Source organism: Homo sapiens, chromosome 8 (genome assembly GCF_000001405.40).
Source record: "Homo sapiens chromosome 8, GRCh38.p14 Primary Assembly".
Classification (NCBI taxonomy): Eukaryota; Metazoa; Chordata; class Mammalia; order Primates; family Hominidae; genus Homo; species Homo sapiens.
Window position 1 is genome coordinate 55,744,517 of NC_000008.11, and position 19,245 is coordinate 55,763,761.

The 19,245-nt window shown below is 37.8% G+C and overlaps 1 protein-coding gene and 1 pseudogene across 9 annotated transcripts in view; one reads left to right on the top strand and one right to left on the bottom strand.

The window, feature by feature from the left end:
• Positions 1–19,245, bottom strand: part of TMEM68 (transmembrane protein 68) — a 34,621-nt gene that overhangs the window by 5,759 nt on the left and 9,617 nt on the right. For 3 of the 9 annotated variants that reach the window (NR_156454.1, NM_152417.3, XM_047421360.1), the window contains exons 3-5: positions 18,119–18,512; positions 11,728–11,895; positions 6,448–6,641 (exon numbers count right to left, since the gene is read on the bottom strand). Coding sequence is in view for 8 of the 9 variants with exons in the window: in NM_152417.3 (NP_689630.1) it covers positions 6,448–6,641; positions 11,728–11,895; positions 18,119–18,443 (687 nt within the window). In the remaining variant the exon portion in view is untranslated. Of the gene's footprint in view, positions 1–544; positions 606–6,447; positions 6,642–11,727; positions 11,896–16,258; positions 18,513–19,245 lie in introns of those variants that run through there. The other 6 variants (NM_001286661.2, NM_001363177.1, XM_047421361.1 and 3 more) reach the window with 3 other exon arrangements.
• On the top strand, positions 716–826 carry RNA5SP265 (RNA, 5S ribosomal pseudogene 265; annotated as a pseudogene).

Genomic DNA, 19,245 nt, shown 5'->3' on the forward strand with positions numbered 1-19,245 from the left:
CAGGATGGTCTCAATCTCCTGACCTTGTGATCCACCCACCTCGGCCTCCCAAAGTGCTAGGATTACAGGCATGAGCCACCGCTCCCGGCCGCTACAAAATATTTTTAAAAACAACAAGAAGTGACAAATAAACCAAAGCAAATGCTATTTCCTTAGGTAGTTAATCTTAGTTCAATATCATATTTTCATCCATTTTTAAAGCTGTAACTTCTGGGGTGAGTTAAAAAGATTGTTGGGATAGTTTGTAAATGTATTCTAAACCTTGTCACCATGGTTTAAAACAATAAACTAGCTAATTCACTGTGAAGTTTTTAAAAGCCCATTTGAAGAACTTCAGTGTGTATATGTACTCTCAACAAAAATTCAGCATTAAGAACTGTCATTACGTAGAACTAGTTATCATTTGGACTTTAAACAGAAAAACGTCTAAATAGTATATCCATTTTCTAAAGATAATAATTCAAAAGGTTTCCTTGTAGGGTTCAACAGCCCAAATATTTTAAAAATTACATTGTAATTTAAAACCATACAAATCAGAACTTACTTGTTCCTCCAAGTGATCTAAATCCTTCTCGAATATTTTGTGTAAACATAGGAATAATGGGCTAAAGAAAAGGAGAATTTGAATTAAAAAGTAAATAAATTAATCCATTCAATGTCTCCATTAGAGTAACTAATGCAAACTTTTTTTTTTTAAGAAAGAGAAAAGGCACCTATGGCCATGCCACCCTGAACATGCCCAATCTCGTCTGATCCCAGAAGCTAAGCAGGGTCGGGTCTCGTTAGTATTGGCATGGGAGAAAGAGAAAAGGGGTACAAATTCATTAGCATGGGGGCGTGAGGGGATCACAAAGTGATTATGCAAACTTTTGAGGGCCTGTTTGATATTATGAAAATAAAATATTTTTAAAATAAAAGCACACGATTAGTCTATCAACTAAATTCAACTTGATCATTTGTAAAAATAGAAATTGGAAACACTACCCTCCAGTGGTAATATATAATATTTCATTGACCAGTTTTCCTAACATTTCACATAAAACCTTGAAACTCAAAATAGAGATTACAGTAATCATTAATTTCACTAAATAAAATGAATGTGGTAAACTGAATTGTCTTTAGTGGGCTACTGAATAGTACGCTCACTGGAGAAAAGTTGCAAGCAGGGATTCTAAGGGTAATTTTTCGGGGGGAGTTGGGGACAGAGTCTCACTCTGTGGCTCAGGCTGGATTGCAGTGGCGTGATCACGGCTCACTGCAGTCTCAACCTCCCAGGTTCAAGCAATCCTCCAACCTTAGTTTCCCAAAGTGTTAGGATTACAGGCGTGAGCCACTGCACCTGGCTCCAAAGGGAAATTTATGTATATTTAAATGACAAGTTTTGGCAAGATGCTGTCGTGGAATTGGTAAAATTTTTTGTGAGTCTATTAAATCTAAAATACTCAACATCAATGAAAAGTAACTATAAGACTCAACCACACAGACAAAAAGGAAAAGCACATATATTAAAGAATTTGGCCAGGTGCGGTGGCTTGTGCCTGTAATCCCAGCACTTTGGGAGGCCAAGACAGGTGGATCACTTGAGCCCAGGAGTTCGAGACCAGCCTGGGCAACATGGCAAAACCCTGTCTCTACAAAAAAATGTAAAAATTATCCAGTTGCGGTGGTACGTGCCTGTAGTCTCAGTTACCTGGGAGGCTGAGGTGGGAGGATTGTTTAAGACCAGGAGGCAGAGGTTGCAGTGAACCAAGATCACACCACTGCACTCCAGTAAGGGCAATAGAGCGAGACACTGTCTCCCAAAAAAAAAAAAAAAAAAAAAAAAGAATTCTCCATAATTGATTGTAGAGAATTTCTGCTAATAAGTTCATGATTTTTATTCTCCAAAAATATCAATGATTCAGTATATTTTTAATAATGAAAACCTTAAATACATATAAAATAATGAAGTATTGATATGTAAAGAGGTTATGCCACTGTGAATACTAAAATAGATAAAAAATTGAATGAAACACTTAAAAATATACATAATATACTGAATTAAATGATGTTTCAGAATAGATAAAATTTTGGTTGGGGGAGTATTACATTACTTACAGTCAACCATGAGTAAATGCCTAATATAAAATTACCTGCTTAATAGGTGAGATATTTAAATAAGCTTAAAAGTTATTCCTACTAAGCTTTGGAAAACAGTAAAATACAGTGGACTAAAGGAAAGAGACTACAGGCAAAGCCTTCATAAAACCTACTACTTCACATATAACTAACCAATCATTTGTTATATCTCTCCTCTCGCCAGAAGGAAGACGCCTAATATACTGCAAGGACATTGTTTTGTTCACTGTTGTATAGCACCTAGAACTGTGCCTGGAATCCACTAGGTGCTAACAGAAAGTGAGATGGAGGAATTAAACAAACAGTGAGTAAACAGAGCAAAGAGACAATGCTTCTAAATGAATTAATTTGTATTCTCTGAATACAAAAGTCAGAAATAGACAGCAGCAATCTCAAAATCAGTTAGGAAAAGGGGAGAAGTTAGGTAAAGAAAAGAAGCGCAGTCAGGGCCGGGCATGGTGGCTCATGCCTGTAATCCCAGCACTTTGGGAGGCCAAGGCAGGTGGATCACTTGAGGTCAGGAGTTCAAGACCAGCCTGGCCAACATGGTGAACCCCATCTCTACTAAAAATACAAAAATCAGCCAGGCGTGGTGGCCAGCGTCTGTAACCCACCTACTCGGGAGGCTGAGGCAGGAGAATCACCTGAACCCGGGAGGTGGAGGCCGCAATGAGCAGAGATCACGCCATTGCACTCCAGCCTGGGTGACAGAGCAAGACTCTGTCTCAAAAAAATTAAAAGTAAAAAAGAGCAGTCAAATGAAGAAATTAAAATTTGATGGAGTTAACTCATAAAGCTAAAACACAAGAAGATAAAGAAGACAAAATACACTGAATTATTTATACATATAAGTAAATATAGTTTATTTGCTTGTTTTTGTAGAGATGGGTTCTTGCTTTGTTGCTCAGGCTAGTCTTGAACTGGTTTCAAGGGATCCTCCTGCCTCAGCCTCCCAAAGTGCTGGGATTACAGGCATGAGCCTCCATACCTGGCCTTTAATTATTATTATTATTATTATTTTGGTAGCTTCCACAATACTCAGACACTGAATTCTTCAGTAAAAAATTCAGACTGTTATCTGGAAATCACTACTAGTTTTGTAAAATAAAACTAGTTTTGTAAAATAAAATATTAGTATGGCTGAAATCCTAATGTTTTAAATAGTTATAAAATGTCTTTATAGTTGAGAACCTAAAATGTCCAAGAAGAAACAGAAATATTTCAGCTCATGCATATACCATTTGCCACTTCCAACCAGTATGGCTGGATTTATATCTACTGACTGGCATGATCCCAGAATTCTGTATTGATGTATGCATTTAAAGACTTTCCTGTTGAAATATCATTCCTTAAATAGCTACCTCTCTAGAAGCTGGACATTTCTAGGGCCCACTAAATAAAAGAAAGCTTACCCTAGCAGGCTCAGTATTCCTCACTATAGTCTGGGAATATGGTTTCTACACTGGCACGCAAGCTTTCATCCTTAAAGCCACAAGCATTACTTTATCCCAACTTGATCTTGCAATATAATTATTAATTCCTCTTATTTAAGGTGGAGTCTTGCTCTGTCGTCCAGGCTGGAGTGCAGTGGCATGATCTAGGCTCACTGTAACCTCCGCCTCCTGGGTTTTTAAGCAACTCTCCTGCCTCAGCCTCCCATGTAGCTGGGATTACAGGCATGTGCCACCACACCCGACTAACTTTTTTGTGTGTTTTTATTAAAGACAGAGTTTGACCATGTTGGCCAGGCTGGTCTGGATCTCCTAACCTCAAGTGATCTGCCCACCTCAGCCTTCATTCCTTCTTTCATGCATACTTTGTACATGAAGGAGTTGCATCAGCAACCTAGAATTCAATTGCTTACATATATAAATGTGTGTCTGTATGTAATGTATGTGCATGCATGTGTGCAAGGGAGAGAGGGAGGGAGGGGAGGGAGGAAGGGGGGGAGAGAGAGAGAGAGAATATATATGTATAATTTTTTTATTTTTTGAAGCAGAGCCTTACTGTCGCCCAAGCTGGAACACAATGGTGCGATCTCGGCTCACTGCAACCTCTGCCTCCCAGGCTCCAGTCATCCTCCAACCTCAGCCATCTGAGTAGCTAAGACCATGCCCAGCTAATTTTTGTACTTTTAGCAGAGATGAGGTTTCACCATGTTGCCCAGGCTGGTCTCGAACTCCTGGCCTCAAGTGATCCTCCTGCCTTGGCCTCCGAAAGTGCTGGGATGACAGGCATGAACCCACATGTCCAGCTGAGAATGTACATTTTTAAAAACTATTACTGGGGTCTTGACATCTTAACTCTGTCACTAAAAATGTGGGAGACATTGTGAAAGTTACTTACCATGTTTAAGCCTCACTTTCTTCATGCATCAAATGGGAATAAATAATAATTATCTCTATCTCAAAGTTTTTATGGATAAAGTGAGATAATTCATATAATTTTATTGAAACAAAATATTTTCTTTTATATCTGCTATTTACTTTACAATTACAGTAAATGGACTAGTTATCTCCTCAACTTATGTAGACATGAAGTTATCTAAAAGTTCTTACCAAAGTTGTAAGTCTCAAGAATTCACAAACCAGGGTGATTTGTATTATATCAAAAAGTCTGTCACTTTCGAATAAACCTTAATATTTTCTACCAATATTTTGTGAACTTGCCTTGACAATCAGGCTTTTTCCCCTTTAATTTCTATTACTATGTTACAATTTAAATGTGGTTAATCCTGTAACAATAGCCTTAAATTTTGTTCACAGCTTATAATTTTGTGAGGCCTATTAAGGGATTTTCCAGAGGGGATACTTGTGCCACTTACAACTATACATATATACACATATATATTACTGAAAGACTTCCCTCACGTATCTGGGAAGCCCCTTCAGTCTTAGACGTCAGCAGACTCACTGTGCAATGTAGTCAGGAATGGCAACAGTACCGGTTGCCTCGAGTTCTGAACTGTGTGCTCTGCTCTACTGCTGCCTTGCTGAATGACCAGATCCCTTCCATCCCTCCATCTCTCTGTGCCTGAGTCTCCTCATCTGCAACATTGGAATAATTATATGCATCACCTCCTTACTGAATAGGAGTATAAGATAAAGTGTTTAAAAGTGCTATGAGATGTTGGGGTGGCACAATATTTATCAAACTTATAAGATTTCTGTTTGTTTTTAAACTTATAAAAAGGTATTTCTTAAACTTTCTAAAGTTTTATATAAAAATCTCAATTAAATTATCTAGTTTATTTAAATTAATTATCTGGAAACTCGAGGATTAGAAAGAGTTATTTTCTCTGCATCATTTATCTCTTTCAGTCCTTCTTCCAAGCAATATGTTGCCGAAAATGTAAACTTAAGGATGAGGAATTGGAATCCCATGGCATATTTATGTGATTTTAAATCTATTTTTGTCATCTTTATCTTAAACTTTTGAAAAAACAATTCTTTCAAAATATAAACTTGAAAGTTGAACCATCTTTGATTAGGATTTTAGTTTTTATCATTGTTTTCATATACATTATATTGATTATTCTTAATTTTTGTATAACTGCATATATCCTTTTGTATTCTATATTATTCATATAGTCTAGGTTTTTGTTTTCTATGTCAGTGCTTAAGACTGGGAAATAAGTAAAATGTGCCATAATTCATTTTCTATACAACTAAAAAACTAAGTTACTGACAATATTCTCTAACTGGCCTGGAAAAAGAACAATACTCTATCAAACGTAATTTCTTTTTCTGACAATCAGAATTAAAATAAACAGAAAACGAAGCAGAAACTTTCCATAGGTAATAGATAAGTGTTTCATAGGCTAAAGTACAATATGGAGACCAAAAGGCTGAGAAATACTTTCCGAAGGCAAAGTAAAAGAACAAAATGACATTCAAATTCTCCAGTCTTTTTTTTTTTTTTTTCTGAGACAGTCTCACTCTGTCACCCAGGCTGGAGTGCAGTGGTGCGATCTCAGCTCACTGCAACCACTACCTCCTGGGTTCAAGCAATTCTCCTCCCTCAGCCTCCCGAGTAGCTGGGATTACAGGCATGCACCACCATGCCTGGCTAATTTTTGTATTTTTAGTACAGATGGGGTTTCATCATGTTGGCCAGGCTGGTCTCAAACTCCTGACCTCATGATACATCCACCTCGGCCTCCCAAAGTGCTGAGATTACAGGCGTGAGCTACCACACTCGGCCTACATACTAATTTTTAAGGTATTGCAGCGAAAGTGTCTAAGTTCTTATACAATTTGGCTCATTACTTAACCATTTATTTTAAATTTGACTAAGCTTTACTTCAATAATTAATTTTATATAACTCACCACTTTTGCATCAATTGCAACCTGAGCAAAGCCTCTGCGATGACCCCATACGATGTTATAAGTTTCATCACTAATTAGGGCTTCTCGAACTCCACCTGGTGAGATAGCTAACAAGTGGCCACTCCTCAGAATTTCAACACATTTTTCTCTTGGTCCATGTAGAGCACAAAACACATCCAGTAATAAACTAAACCCTGTAAGAAACATGAGTATGAAGTTACAACATAAGTATTTCTTGTTTAATTCTTCAAAAGAAAAATCTTCACAAACTACATAGTGTACTATTTATACTTAAATCAGTAAACTTTTTTACTTGTTAAAATCAACAAAAACTCTAAAGGTTAACTTAAGCTTGATATTAAGCTTCTCTGGCTCAAATTCTTAAGTAAAACTCACAACAATCTTGACAAACAGGTATTCTTCTCCCCACTTTACAAATGAGAAAACTTGGGCTTACAGAATAATAGCTTGCTCAAAGTCACACATCTAAGAAGTGGCAGGGCAGAGATTCCAGAGATAGGATTCTAATGGGATTCAGAAATGATATCCCATCAGCAATCAGAAATCTAATCTTCCATTAACCCTATAAAAAAGAGAATCACTCAGGAGAATGTGAATCAAACTACGCTTAGCTCTTCCAAAACTGGCAAGACCATGATCAAATCTATTTAAATTAAAAGTTAGATAATGCTAATTCTATAATTAAATTTTTAAAATAGCAAACATCATTAAGAGATTTTAATAAAGTGAGAGTGCTTGACTCAAGAGCAGCTAATTCCAAGTCTTAATATTATACAGCTTTTCAAATTACAACTGTTTATGGATGAAAGAAATAATCCTGTTAGTAATTAAATATTTTAATCAAATCCCATACTGGAACTTCTGAGGACTGATGTTAGTATACATTATTCCCTGAGAATGGGAAATATAGCGATGCATTTGATGTTAAAAACTACGCAGACTGGTCAGGCACGGTGGCTCACGCCTGTAATACCAGCACTTTGGGAGAAAGAGGCAGGTGGATCACTTGCGGTCAGGAGTTCAAGACCAGCCTGGCCAATGTGGTGAAACCCTGCCTCTACTAAAAATACAAAAATCAGCCTGGCATGGTGGCACGTGCCTGTAATCCAGCTACTCAGGAGGCTGGGGCAGGAGAATGGCTTCAACTCAGGAGGGGGAGGTTGCAGTGAGCCAAAATTGTGTCACTGCACTGCAGCCTGGGCAACAGAGCAAGACTCTGTCTCAAAGAAAAAAAACAAAAAACACTATGCAGACCAACCAAACTTCTCATTAAAGATCTGAGGCAAGTTTATAAATAGCATTAAGATTAAAATAATTGTCAGACCGGGTGTGGTGGTTCACACCTGTAATCCCAGCACTTTGGGAAGATGAGCGGGCAGACCACCTGAGGTCAGGAGTTTGAGACCAGCCTGGCCAACATGGCAAAACCCCATCTCTACTAAAAATACAAAAATTAGCCGGGCATGGTGGCGCACGCTTGTAATCCCAGCTACTCAGGAGGCTGAGGCAGGGAGAATTGCTTTAACCCGTGAGGCGGAGGTTGCAGTGAGCAAAGATCAAGCCACTGCACTCCAACCTGGGCAACAGAGCAAGACTGTCTCAAAAAAAGTAAAAGAAAAGAAAATAATTGTCACCCCACATTATATTAAATGTTCACTGATTCAACTAGATGCATTCTCATAATGAATGAATGAACAGGGAAGGATTCATACATAATAGGATAAAATATAGGATCCCTTTTTTTTTTTTTTTTTTTTGGAAACAGGGCCTTGCTCTGTCACCCAGGCTGGAATGCAGGGGCACAATAGTAGCTCACTACGGCCTTGCTCTACTGGGCTCAAGCGATCCTCTCACTCAGCCTCCCAAGTAGCTGAGACTCCAGGCACTGTGCCACCATGCCTGGCTGATTTTTTTATTTTTATTTTTAGCAGAAACGAGGTCTTGCTATGTTGCCCAGGGTGGTTTCAATCTTCTGAGCTCCAGCAATCCTACTGCCTTAGCCTCACCAAGTGCTGGAATTACAGGTGTGAGCCATGGCACCCACCCTAAAATCTCTCTTGTGCTGAGAATTATAATGATTTTATTCCTTCAGAAAGCAAAGAAAGACTTAAGGTCTTAGTGTCTTAAGGTCTTTAATGATCTTTATGATCATTAAAAAGATCATAAAGAGGAAAATTTTTTGAAAAAGGCAAATGCTAAAAATATTCACATTTTATTATTGCTAAAAACGAAAAAAGTAGAAGCAACCTAATGCTCCATTAGAGAAAAACAGTTAAGTAAATGTTCTAGTCATACACTAAACGTTTTTCTTATAAAACATGGTAAAAATATTAATGCTAACATTAAATCTTAAAAAAAAACCCCACAAAACTGTTTGCCTATGTTACTGTAAGTAAAAAAATGAAGTAAAATAAATCAAAATGAAAACATTATGTTAAGATGGTAAGATTATAATGATGTTCTGTTTTTTAGTTTCCAAATCTACTATAGTGATCATGTTAGTTTTTAACAGAAAACATAGCCATAAACAATATGTTTATACACAAATGGCTTTTTAGTGACACATGGATACCCAAAGCATTAACTGTTTATAGGCACTGAAGTAGATCATTACTTAATTCACTGTTTGGTTGTGTTTGTCTGGTTGATGTGTCAGCTTTTGCTTTTATACCAGAGAACATACTAACAACTCTCTTGGCTTGTTTCTGGTGATTCAGTGACAGAAGAAAATAAGATTTAATCTCAATGAGTTTACTCAAGAATGATTTTTGAAAAACTCTAAACCATTTGGTTAATTAATCTTTTTTTAAAAAAAATATAAGGTCGGCTAGACGCAGTGCCTCACGCCTGCAATCTCAGTACTTTGGGAGGCCAAGGCGGGCGGATCACCTGAGGTCAGGAGTTCGAGACCAGTCTGGCCAACATGATGAAACTCCATCTCTACTAAAAGTACAAAAATTAGCCAGGTATGGTGGCAGGCGCCAGTAATCCCAGCTACTAGGGAGGCTGAGGCAGGAGAATCACTTGAACCTGAGGGGCGGAGGCTGCAGTGAGTCGCGATCGCACCATTGCACTCCAGCCTGGACAACAAGAGCGAGATTCCTTCTCAAAATGAATAAATATGTATATACACACACACACACATACACACATATGGCCAGCTAGGCATGGTGGCTCGTGCCTATAATACCAGCACTTTGGGAGGGTGAGGCGGGAGGATCACCTGAGGTCAGGAGTTCAAGACCAACCTGGACAACATGGTGAAACCCTTCTCTACTAAAAATACAAAAATTAGCCAGGTGTGGTGGCGGGCATCTGCAATCCCAACTACTTGGGAGGCTGAGGTACAAGAATCGGTTGAACTACTTGGGAGGCTGAGGTACGAGAATCAGAGGTTGCAATGAGCCGAGATTATGCCACTGCACTCTAGCCCAGGTGACAGAGCAAGACTCTGTCTCGAATATATATATATATATATATATACACACACACACACACACACACACACATACATACACACACACACGTGTATATATATATTTACATATACTTATATTATATATATAATACATACATATTATATATTTATATTATATAAAATACATATATTATGTAATATATATTTATATTATATATAAAATACATACATTATATAATATATATTTATATTATATATAAAATACATATATTATGTAATATATATTATATATGAAATACATACTTATATATATATTATATATAAAATACATACTTATATATATATTATATATAAAATACATACATTATATATTTATATTATATATAAAATACATATATAATATATATTTATATTATATATAAAATACATATATTATGTAATATATATTTATATTATATATAAAATATATAGTATATATTTATATTATATATAAAATACATATATTATATATTATATATTTATATATATTTATATATATTTATACACACACACACACACACACACACACACACACATAGCCTTTATAAACAGATTTTTTTAAATGTAGTCTTCACGGCTGGGTGCAGTGGCTCGCACTTGTAATCCCAAAACTTTTGAAGGCCACAGTGGGAGGATCACTTGAGGCCAGGAATTTGAGACCAGCCTGGGCAACATAGCAAGACCCCATATCTAAATAAATAAACAAATATAAATAATGTAGTACTCAATCTTATTGTTATAAATCTTATCAGGCAAGTTACACATGATAAGAGACATGATGTATGTACTTTTTAGGGTAGTATAATATTACATGAAGACAAAATATATCTTTTTTTTTTTTTTGAGACGGAGTCTTACTCTGTTGCCCAGGCTGGAGTATAGTGGCATGATGTCAGCTCACTGTAACCTCTGCCTTCCGGGTTCAAGTGATTCTCTTGCCTCAGCTTCCCGAGTAGCTGAGCCTACAGAAGGCCTATTAGCCACCATACTGGACTACTTTTTGTATTTTTAGTAGAGACGGGGTTTCACCATGTTGGCCAGGCTGGTTTTGAACTCCTGACCTCAGGTGATTTGCCCACCTCGTCCTCCCAAAGTGCTGGGATTATAGGCATGAGCCACTGTGCCCAGCCAAGACAAAATATATCATGACTTTTTTTTTTTTTTTACTAATTTTAATTTGCTATCAAACTGAGAGTTATCAAACTCTAATTATAACAAAATTAAACTCCAAAAATCAGTATTTCATGAAAAAATTCATTATGTGAAAAATCAACTATGCGCTAAATCAAAATATAAATTGGCAAAAATCACAATTTGCTTTTTAAAAGTTACAGTTCAAGATACAACTTAAAAAAATAACAATACCTGCTTATAAAGGAAAAAGTTACTAATTGAGAATATTCAGACTTCACCACTACACAATATATGCATATAAGAAAGCTGCACTTATACCCCTTTAATATATAAAAATATATTTTTTTAAAAAGGAAAATTTAAAATTATTTTTTAAAAACATTATATTGTATGCCATAAATACAATTTTCACTTAAAAATAAACAATTTTAAAATGTATAAAATAAAAAATGAGCTAACATTTTTGGCCACAATGTCTTTATTTTTAGATATATTGCCTAAAAAGGATAATTAGATATTCCCATATTAGAGTTCCAAGAGTGTTATACACACCCTAAAAGGCAAAAAGCTTTTTCAAATGACGTTAGAGAGCTCAGGATAGAGACGACCACATAACTTGGTTTTGTTAATAAAACATTTTTACATTACTATCTACAGTGAAAGTTTACCTGGAATTTTAAAGACAAAGTGATCAGCTACTACTCGGCAAGTTCTGCCTTTGTGTATAAATATTTTAGCCATGAAATAGTAAAAATCTATAGGAATAGCTCCATGATAAAAAATTATAAGTGCTGGTCCATCTTCTGGTATTTTTTCCATTCCATGAACTTCATAACCTGTTTGAATGACAAAATGCAAATACTTAAAATATATTCATTAATTCGTTTACAGTAAAGGATGGTTGGTAGCTCAGTCTTTTCTCACAAAAGTACACTAGTCTTCCTGGTTCTCTTCCCCTTTCCCCCTTCTTCCCTCTCTTTCCTCTTCTCTTTCTTTCTTGAACAAATCAGTCCTACAGCCATTAGGTGGGCCACAGTGAAGCAGACAACCTGTGTGGAGAGGTAGCCTGGAGTGTTGGCGCCAGACACTAAGGAAGGCACTCACACAGGTGGTGCGGAGTGGGGAGTCAGAACCAGAGCAGAGTCACGAGGGCACTGCACAGAAGAGAGCCTATCACAGGTTGGGGGGCTGCTGAGGGGGAAGAGAGGAGGCAAGGGTCACGGAAGCTTGGGAGTCAGAGCCTGAGTGAAATGGGGGCATCCACAACCAGCAAGCAGCCTGGCAGGAGGGGCCAGAGCCCGAGACAGGTGGCCTGGTGTAGGGCATCACAGCCTGAGCAGCTGGACAGGGCACTGTACAGAGTGGTGGCCTGGCACAAGCAGGGACAGGGCATCCATGAGTTGTAGGGGAAGGCAGCAATGATGGGAGATGGGTTACACACAGGGGGACTGATCAAATGAGTCAACATAGTAAGAATAACGGGAGCCAGGTTTCACTGTTAGAGGAGGGGGTTGAAAACATTAAAAATACTGTACAGTATTACTAGTAAGAGAAACTCTGTAGCCACAAGGGAACATCACTCCCACCCTACTGATGAGAAAAAGCCTGAAGTACAAATCTTTTTTTCTTAAGCATGTCAGAGAACAGAGGTCACAAGGCAACCAGGCGAACTGAACTTCAAAGGGTGATAAACCCCTCTAAGGAAAGACAAAAACTGAGAATGGGAGGAAGAGGCAGATGCCATAAAAGAGGGTAAGAAGAAGTGACATATTACAAAATACTTAAAGTCCCACGGTAGGCTAGTATTGAATGTAGAATCTCTGGAAGCCCCAGATAGTCACTCTCTAACTCTTCTCCACAGACCTCAGTGTGTGCTCACAAGAAAGATTAGGGGTGAAGCTGGAGAGTAAAGAGAGCCCCTGCTAATGGTACAGGGAACAAAACCCCACTCACTTCCTGGAAGTTTATCTCATAGAAGAAAACCTGTCAGGCGCTGGGAAAGGGGCAGGAAACCCTTTCACTCCCTCTAAGAAAAGGGTATATGCAAAAGGCATGTAATGCTGGGAGGGGCAGAACTCCACTCCCCTGCCCCACACACTCCTCCACCCTCACCAGCCCAGTGTCAGGCAAAAGTCCACTATTCTAGAGAAGGGGAAGAAGCAAAATATCTACCACTGGGCAGCGGGGGTGGGTGGCAGGAAAGTCTAAGGGGCCCAGAGTCCTTAAGTGACATAAAGCAGATATCTACCACGGGGGCAGTGGCAGCAAATTTGCTTCCATCACAAAACCCCCAACACAGGGAAAAGGGAAAGGAACACAGAAAGCCTCACCCCTAAGCCCCAGGAATACAGAGCCCCATAAGATTTTAGCTAAACCTGAAAACTGAGGAGTGCTATACCCCAGCACCAGGGGGAATGAGGGCAGGGGCATGAACAAGGGGTGTGAGGAGTCCCCAAGTACCCCCATGTGGAGTTATAAGCAAAGGCGACCTTTTCCTGGGGTCGCAGGAGGGGCGTGAAGAGACTCTTCCTGTGGCAAAGGCATACAGGACTGAAGGTGGAGCAGAAACAACCAAAAAATCCCTCTACTTCAGGCCCTACACTATGCACAAGATAACAGTAGGAGTCTGAAGTCTGTGCTGAACTGAAGGTAGCTGTAGCGCAGCAATAAAAGCCAAATCCAGTTCACTCAGTAGATTGAATCCACCTCCAACCGACCACCAATGGCCTGACAGATTCTTAGTCATAAATCCTATTTATGAGCCCAATTCTCAGTCATAAATACTATTTACCTCAGTTGTCATTCTTTTACAAACAATGGCCAGAATTCAATAAAAAATATGACATAAAATAGCAAGAAAAAAACCCACTGTCAAGAGCTAAAACAATTAACACACCCAAATGTTGAAACTATCAGATGGAAACTATAAAATAACTATGATTAAGTTAAAGGGGAATGCAGTGGCTCACGCCTGTAATCCCAACACTTTGGGAGACTGAGATGGTAGGACTTTTGAGCCCAAGAGTTAGAGATCAGCCTGGGCAACATGGCAAGACCCACCTCTGCAAAAATGTAAAAAAATTAATTGGGCATGGTGGCATGTGCCTGTAGTCTCAGTTACTTGGGAGGCTGAGGTGGGATGATTGCTTGAGCCCAGAAGTTGAAAGCTGTAGTGAGCTATGATCGTGCCACTGCACTCCAGGCTGGGTGACAGTGCGAGACCCTGACTCTAAAAATAAAAATAAATAAATAAACGCAAAGGATCTAGTGGAAAAGGTGGATACATGCACAATCAGATTAGGAATTTCAGCAGAAAGATGGAAACTATAAAAAAATAGAGTCAAATAGAAAGGCTGTAAACTTAAATGAGCTCTAAAGATTTGATATTAGTAACATAACAATGTTAATTTTCCAATTTTAATGGGTTTACTGAGGTTAAGTATGAGAACATCCTTATTTGCAGAAGCCATCAAGTAAGTTACAACTTCCCTGAGATAACATGACCTACAGTAAATTTAAAAATGAGTCATAAAATAATTCATCAATAAAAGCAAAAAAAGTAGGCCAGGTGTGATGGCTCAAGCCTGTAATGCCAGTTCTTTGGGAGGCCAAGGCAGGAGGATTGCTTGAGGCTAGGAGTTTAAGATCAGCCTGGGCAAATCAGTGAAATCCCTGTCTCTACAAAAAAAAAAAAAAAAAATTAAGTAAATACAGTCCGGGCACAGTGGCTCGTGCCTATAATACCAGCACTTTGGGAGGGTGAGGCGGGAGGATCACCTGAGGTCAGGAGTTCAAGACCAGCCTGGCCAACATGGTGAAACCCCATCTCTACTAAAAATACAAAAATTAGCCAGGTGTGGTGGCATGTGCCTATAGTCCCAGCTACTCGGGCGGCTCAGGCAGGAGAATCGCTCGAACTTGGGAGGCGGAGGTTGCAGTGAACTGAGCTCACACCACTGCACTCCAGCCTGGGACACAAGAGTGAGACTCTGTCTCAAAAATAAATAAATAAATATAAATAAAACTAAAAAATACATATTTTTAAAACAGGAAAAATTATTAGTGACTGAATGTAAAATAAAATACCATTTACACTGTTATATATACACAGATATCATAATGCTGTAAACTTTAAGTTCATTCACAAACATAAGACTTCATTTTTATGTATTTAAACAATTCTTTAGAAATTTCCTCATTCTATTCATGAAAAAAACAAACATGATTTTGTACAATCTTATTACATGTGGGGGAAAAACTTTAATCACAGATTTGAACTAGACTACAAGAAAATCTCTGTCCTGTAGAAGCGAGATCAGAGGCTCATGCCATCCCTGCCCCTTCCTTCCACACTGCAAGCCCTATTTTATGTCTCTGTAAACAGAAGAAAGGGTTTCAGTAGTGGGAGTAAATGACAGGATGAAAGGTGGTGGACCTGGAGAAGGGATGACATCTGGAAGCTTCCTGCTAACACAGCCTCAGTTCCAGGCTGGCTGTTTTTTCTCCTCCCTTAGCTAACATTACCTGCCTGCTGTTCTCTATATGGCTACCAAGGCCAACAAATTTACTTCTTACAGCAACGCTGTGCTGTTGGCAGTTAGTAGGGAATAGAAAAGACTTAAGTAAGATCCAACTATGCCTCAGAGGAAAATCACAGAAGTTGGGAAGTCAGGATATTCTAAGGAGTGAATAAAATGGTGATCATGGCACTAGCCATAAGATCCACATTCCCTTCCCATGTCACCACTGTCAGACACACCATTACAGACCACAGCCTCCACGGGTCCTGGCAAAAAGAAAAAAGTGAGCATCCAGAGATCAAGGGCAGAATCAGGCTCAAAGAAAAAGCGTGAAAAAGAAGGAAATCTAGAGTGGTTGTAATAGGAAAGGAAAGTAAGTTCTTAGGGCCATATTCCTCCACATAGAACAGCTGTCTCAAGAAAGGCTGCCACTTGTATAGAAGACAAAAGTAAAGTCCAGAATATGGAAATCTGAAAATATTAGTCTGTTTCTTTCCTTAAGTGTATTCCTGTCTGATCAGCTACGAAATAAACATTCAAAAAATAAAGACTTCAGTCTAAATTCCAGAGCAGAAAATACATTTCTAAAGTAGTTTATAAGGTCTTCACAAAACAGATTAAATTAAGTATGATAACTGTGATTCTAGTATGAAATAAGCTACTCAAATGGACTTGAGAATGTTTTGAAAAATAATTTAATGATATTCCAAGATTTTGTATGTTTCCATATTATATCATTTCTTTCCAATTACATAATTCTAACTCAAGTAATTCAATTTACTTTAAGCTCTACAAAACAGTCACTGAGTTTGAGGATCAACTGTCCCATCAAATACATTTTCTGAGCAATAAAGAAACTCCTTTGAAGGATTCTATACAGAATATTACCAAGGTTCTCTCTGGTTTTACAGAGTATTTTTTTAAATAATAAACAATTGAACTACTCACATAATACCAAACCACCTGGTTGAAAGCAGAAAAATCCAACTAATCAAATATTTAAAAAAAATAGTTTACTATAGTGCCAGTAAACCTTAAAACCTAGGGCTATTTAACTGTGTCACTCTTAGAGCAGATGTGATCATACTACTCCCTGCTGAGAAAGTATCAGTGCATTACCACTCTAGTCCAACATTTTCAAGCCCCTTGAGGCCCCAATTGCCTATAAAGTGACATTACATTATTTCATGTATCATATGAACTAACTGTGGCTCCCAGAGTACTTTTCCACCTTTGTGCTTCTGCTCACATGGTTGCTATTACTTGGAGCACTTCCAGTTCATGTTTCCCTGTCTAGCAGTAGAAATCTTACTGGACTTTAACTCCTCCTCCCTCAAGACTCTACACTCAGTCCCCAAGTTCTGTTTATTTTACCTCCAAGAGCTCTCTCAAATGTATACTCCCAGGTATCTGGGGTTGTAACCTGGCCCTATTCCTAGTATACCTTGGGCAAATAACAACCTCTCTGTGCCTCAGTTTCCTCATGAGTATAATCGGGGTACCACATAGACTCCATTATGTTAATGAGATTTAAAGCAGTTAATTTATATTAAGCAATTGACAGTGTCTGGCATAGGTAGGTGCTCAAAAAAAATTTGTAGGTTCGTTAAGTATGTATGTAGTATTAAAATGAAAATACATTAGTCTAATAAGCATGTCACTGGTGATTTCTGCTAATAGCAGCCTAATAGTTCAGTGATATATATCCTCAAGTGTCTTTTAAAGTCTGTGCTTCCTTCCATGTCCTTCTATGAAACCACTGTGATGCTCAACAACATAATACAGAAAGCCAATGTTTGTTACCTGCCTATTGAATCTTCAGTATTTTTGTGTAGTCTAAAAACAAAAGAGACCAACAAACTAGATATTGTTGGAATAATGAAGTAAAAGTTGGTAGAGTGAAACACTAACCACTTAAAAATAGGCCACCAGAAGGCAATTTTCATGATGGCCAAACAAAGAAGAACCACCAATCATTAAGTATACAACATCAAAATTTCTCGAGTAATAAAGAAAAGAATGACTATCCTGGAGAGAAATCTATTGCTATCTTATTTATTCAGAAAGACACACCAACCTCAGGAATGAATCAACAGAAAATGCATAAATTTTGGTATGCAAATTATATTTAATGTAATATTATTTAATATTTCATTTTTTTAAATCCACACTGGTAGAGTCAAACTTATTTTGAACAGAAGTAAATGCTAAATAATTGAAGCATTTTTAAAGCAGTTTTCTACAGCTTTATTTAGTCTCTTACTCTTTTAGATGTTTTAAATATAAATTTTCTTATTTCAACTTATAGTCTACAGTGCTGCGTGGTTCTTTGTTTAATGGAAACCAACGTCTATGGGAAAACTCATTTTAAGAAAGACACATACATATGCACAATGCATGCAAACAGGTAACAGGGAATAGTAAATATCACTTCTATTATATTTTTCAGTATCTTCTCAATCAATAAAATGGAATGGTAACACAGTTCCAATGCAGCACACATGAATGGCAACACAAAGGTGAAAGTATCCTTGCTTACCATGCCAAACGGCTGCATGTCCATCCCACAGAGTTGCCACTGTTTTCCTTGCACCATCCCATAAATTATGAGAGTAGGCTTCTTTCAATACATTCTTTCTCTTATAAATGTGTAAGAAAATAATAGTAAGGTAGAGAAGAAAGATAGTAAAGTAAGGAAGTATTAAAAGTATTAGTGGTGTAAAAACCCACAAGAGATAGTTTGCAAAATTCAAATAGTCCTCCAACTGCTCCACACCAAACCATTCTTCGAGTATGTGAATCAGACAAATCATATAGGGCACAGAATCCTGTCCTACACCACAGGTTTGATTTTTGTCTATCATTTTTCTTCAGGTGAAAATGACAAATTCAGTTTCTTTCTTCATTGCCATAGCAGGTCGCTAATTTTGACACTAGAAGGGAAAAATAATCCAGTATTATTTTCTCCACAGCTATAAAGTTAAATGTTTTACTCTACTTAAATAGCATATAGAGTCATTTCTTAATACCCAAAATGAGTAGATGGTTAATGGTTAACTTTGTTGCAGATTTAAATGTGAAAATTATAAGGTTTCATCTGTCTGCTCATGAAGTATGTCGTGTTTAGCTTTTGAAATAATTCACTATAATTGAGAGAAGAAAATAAAGCTATAATTAAGAGAAGAAAATAAAGCTGATGAGGAATATAATTTCAGATTGATTTTAATAATTTGACTCACATCTTAATTGGATCATGTTGAAAAATTAGATCTTAAACCAGGTCACATTGAGATAATTTTTTTTTCTTCTTTGAGATGGAGTCTCACCCTTTTGCTCGGGCTGGAGTACAGTGGCACGATCTCAGTCACTGAAACCTCTGCCTCCCAGGTTCAGGTAATCCTCCTGCCTCAGCATCCCGAGCAGCTGGGACTACAGGCATGTGCCACCATGCCTGGCTAATTTTTGTATTTTTAGTAGAGACAGGGTTTCACTATGTTGGCCAGGCTGGTCCCAAACTCCTGACCTCAAGTGGTCCACCCACCTCAGCCTCCCAAAGTGCTGAGATTACAGGCATCAGCCACCATGCCCAGCCATATTGAGATAACTCTGCACAAAAGAAAACATCAATATCTACCTAATTCAGTAAAAGTAACCCAATTCTTTACG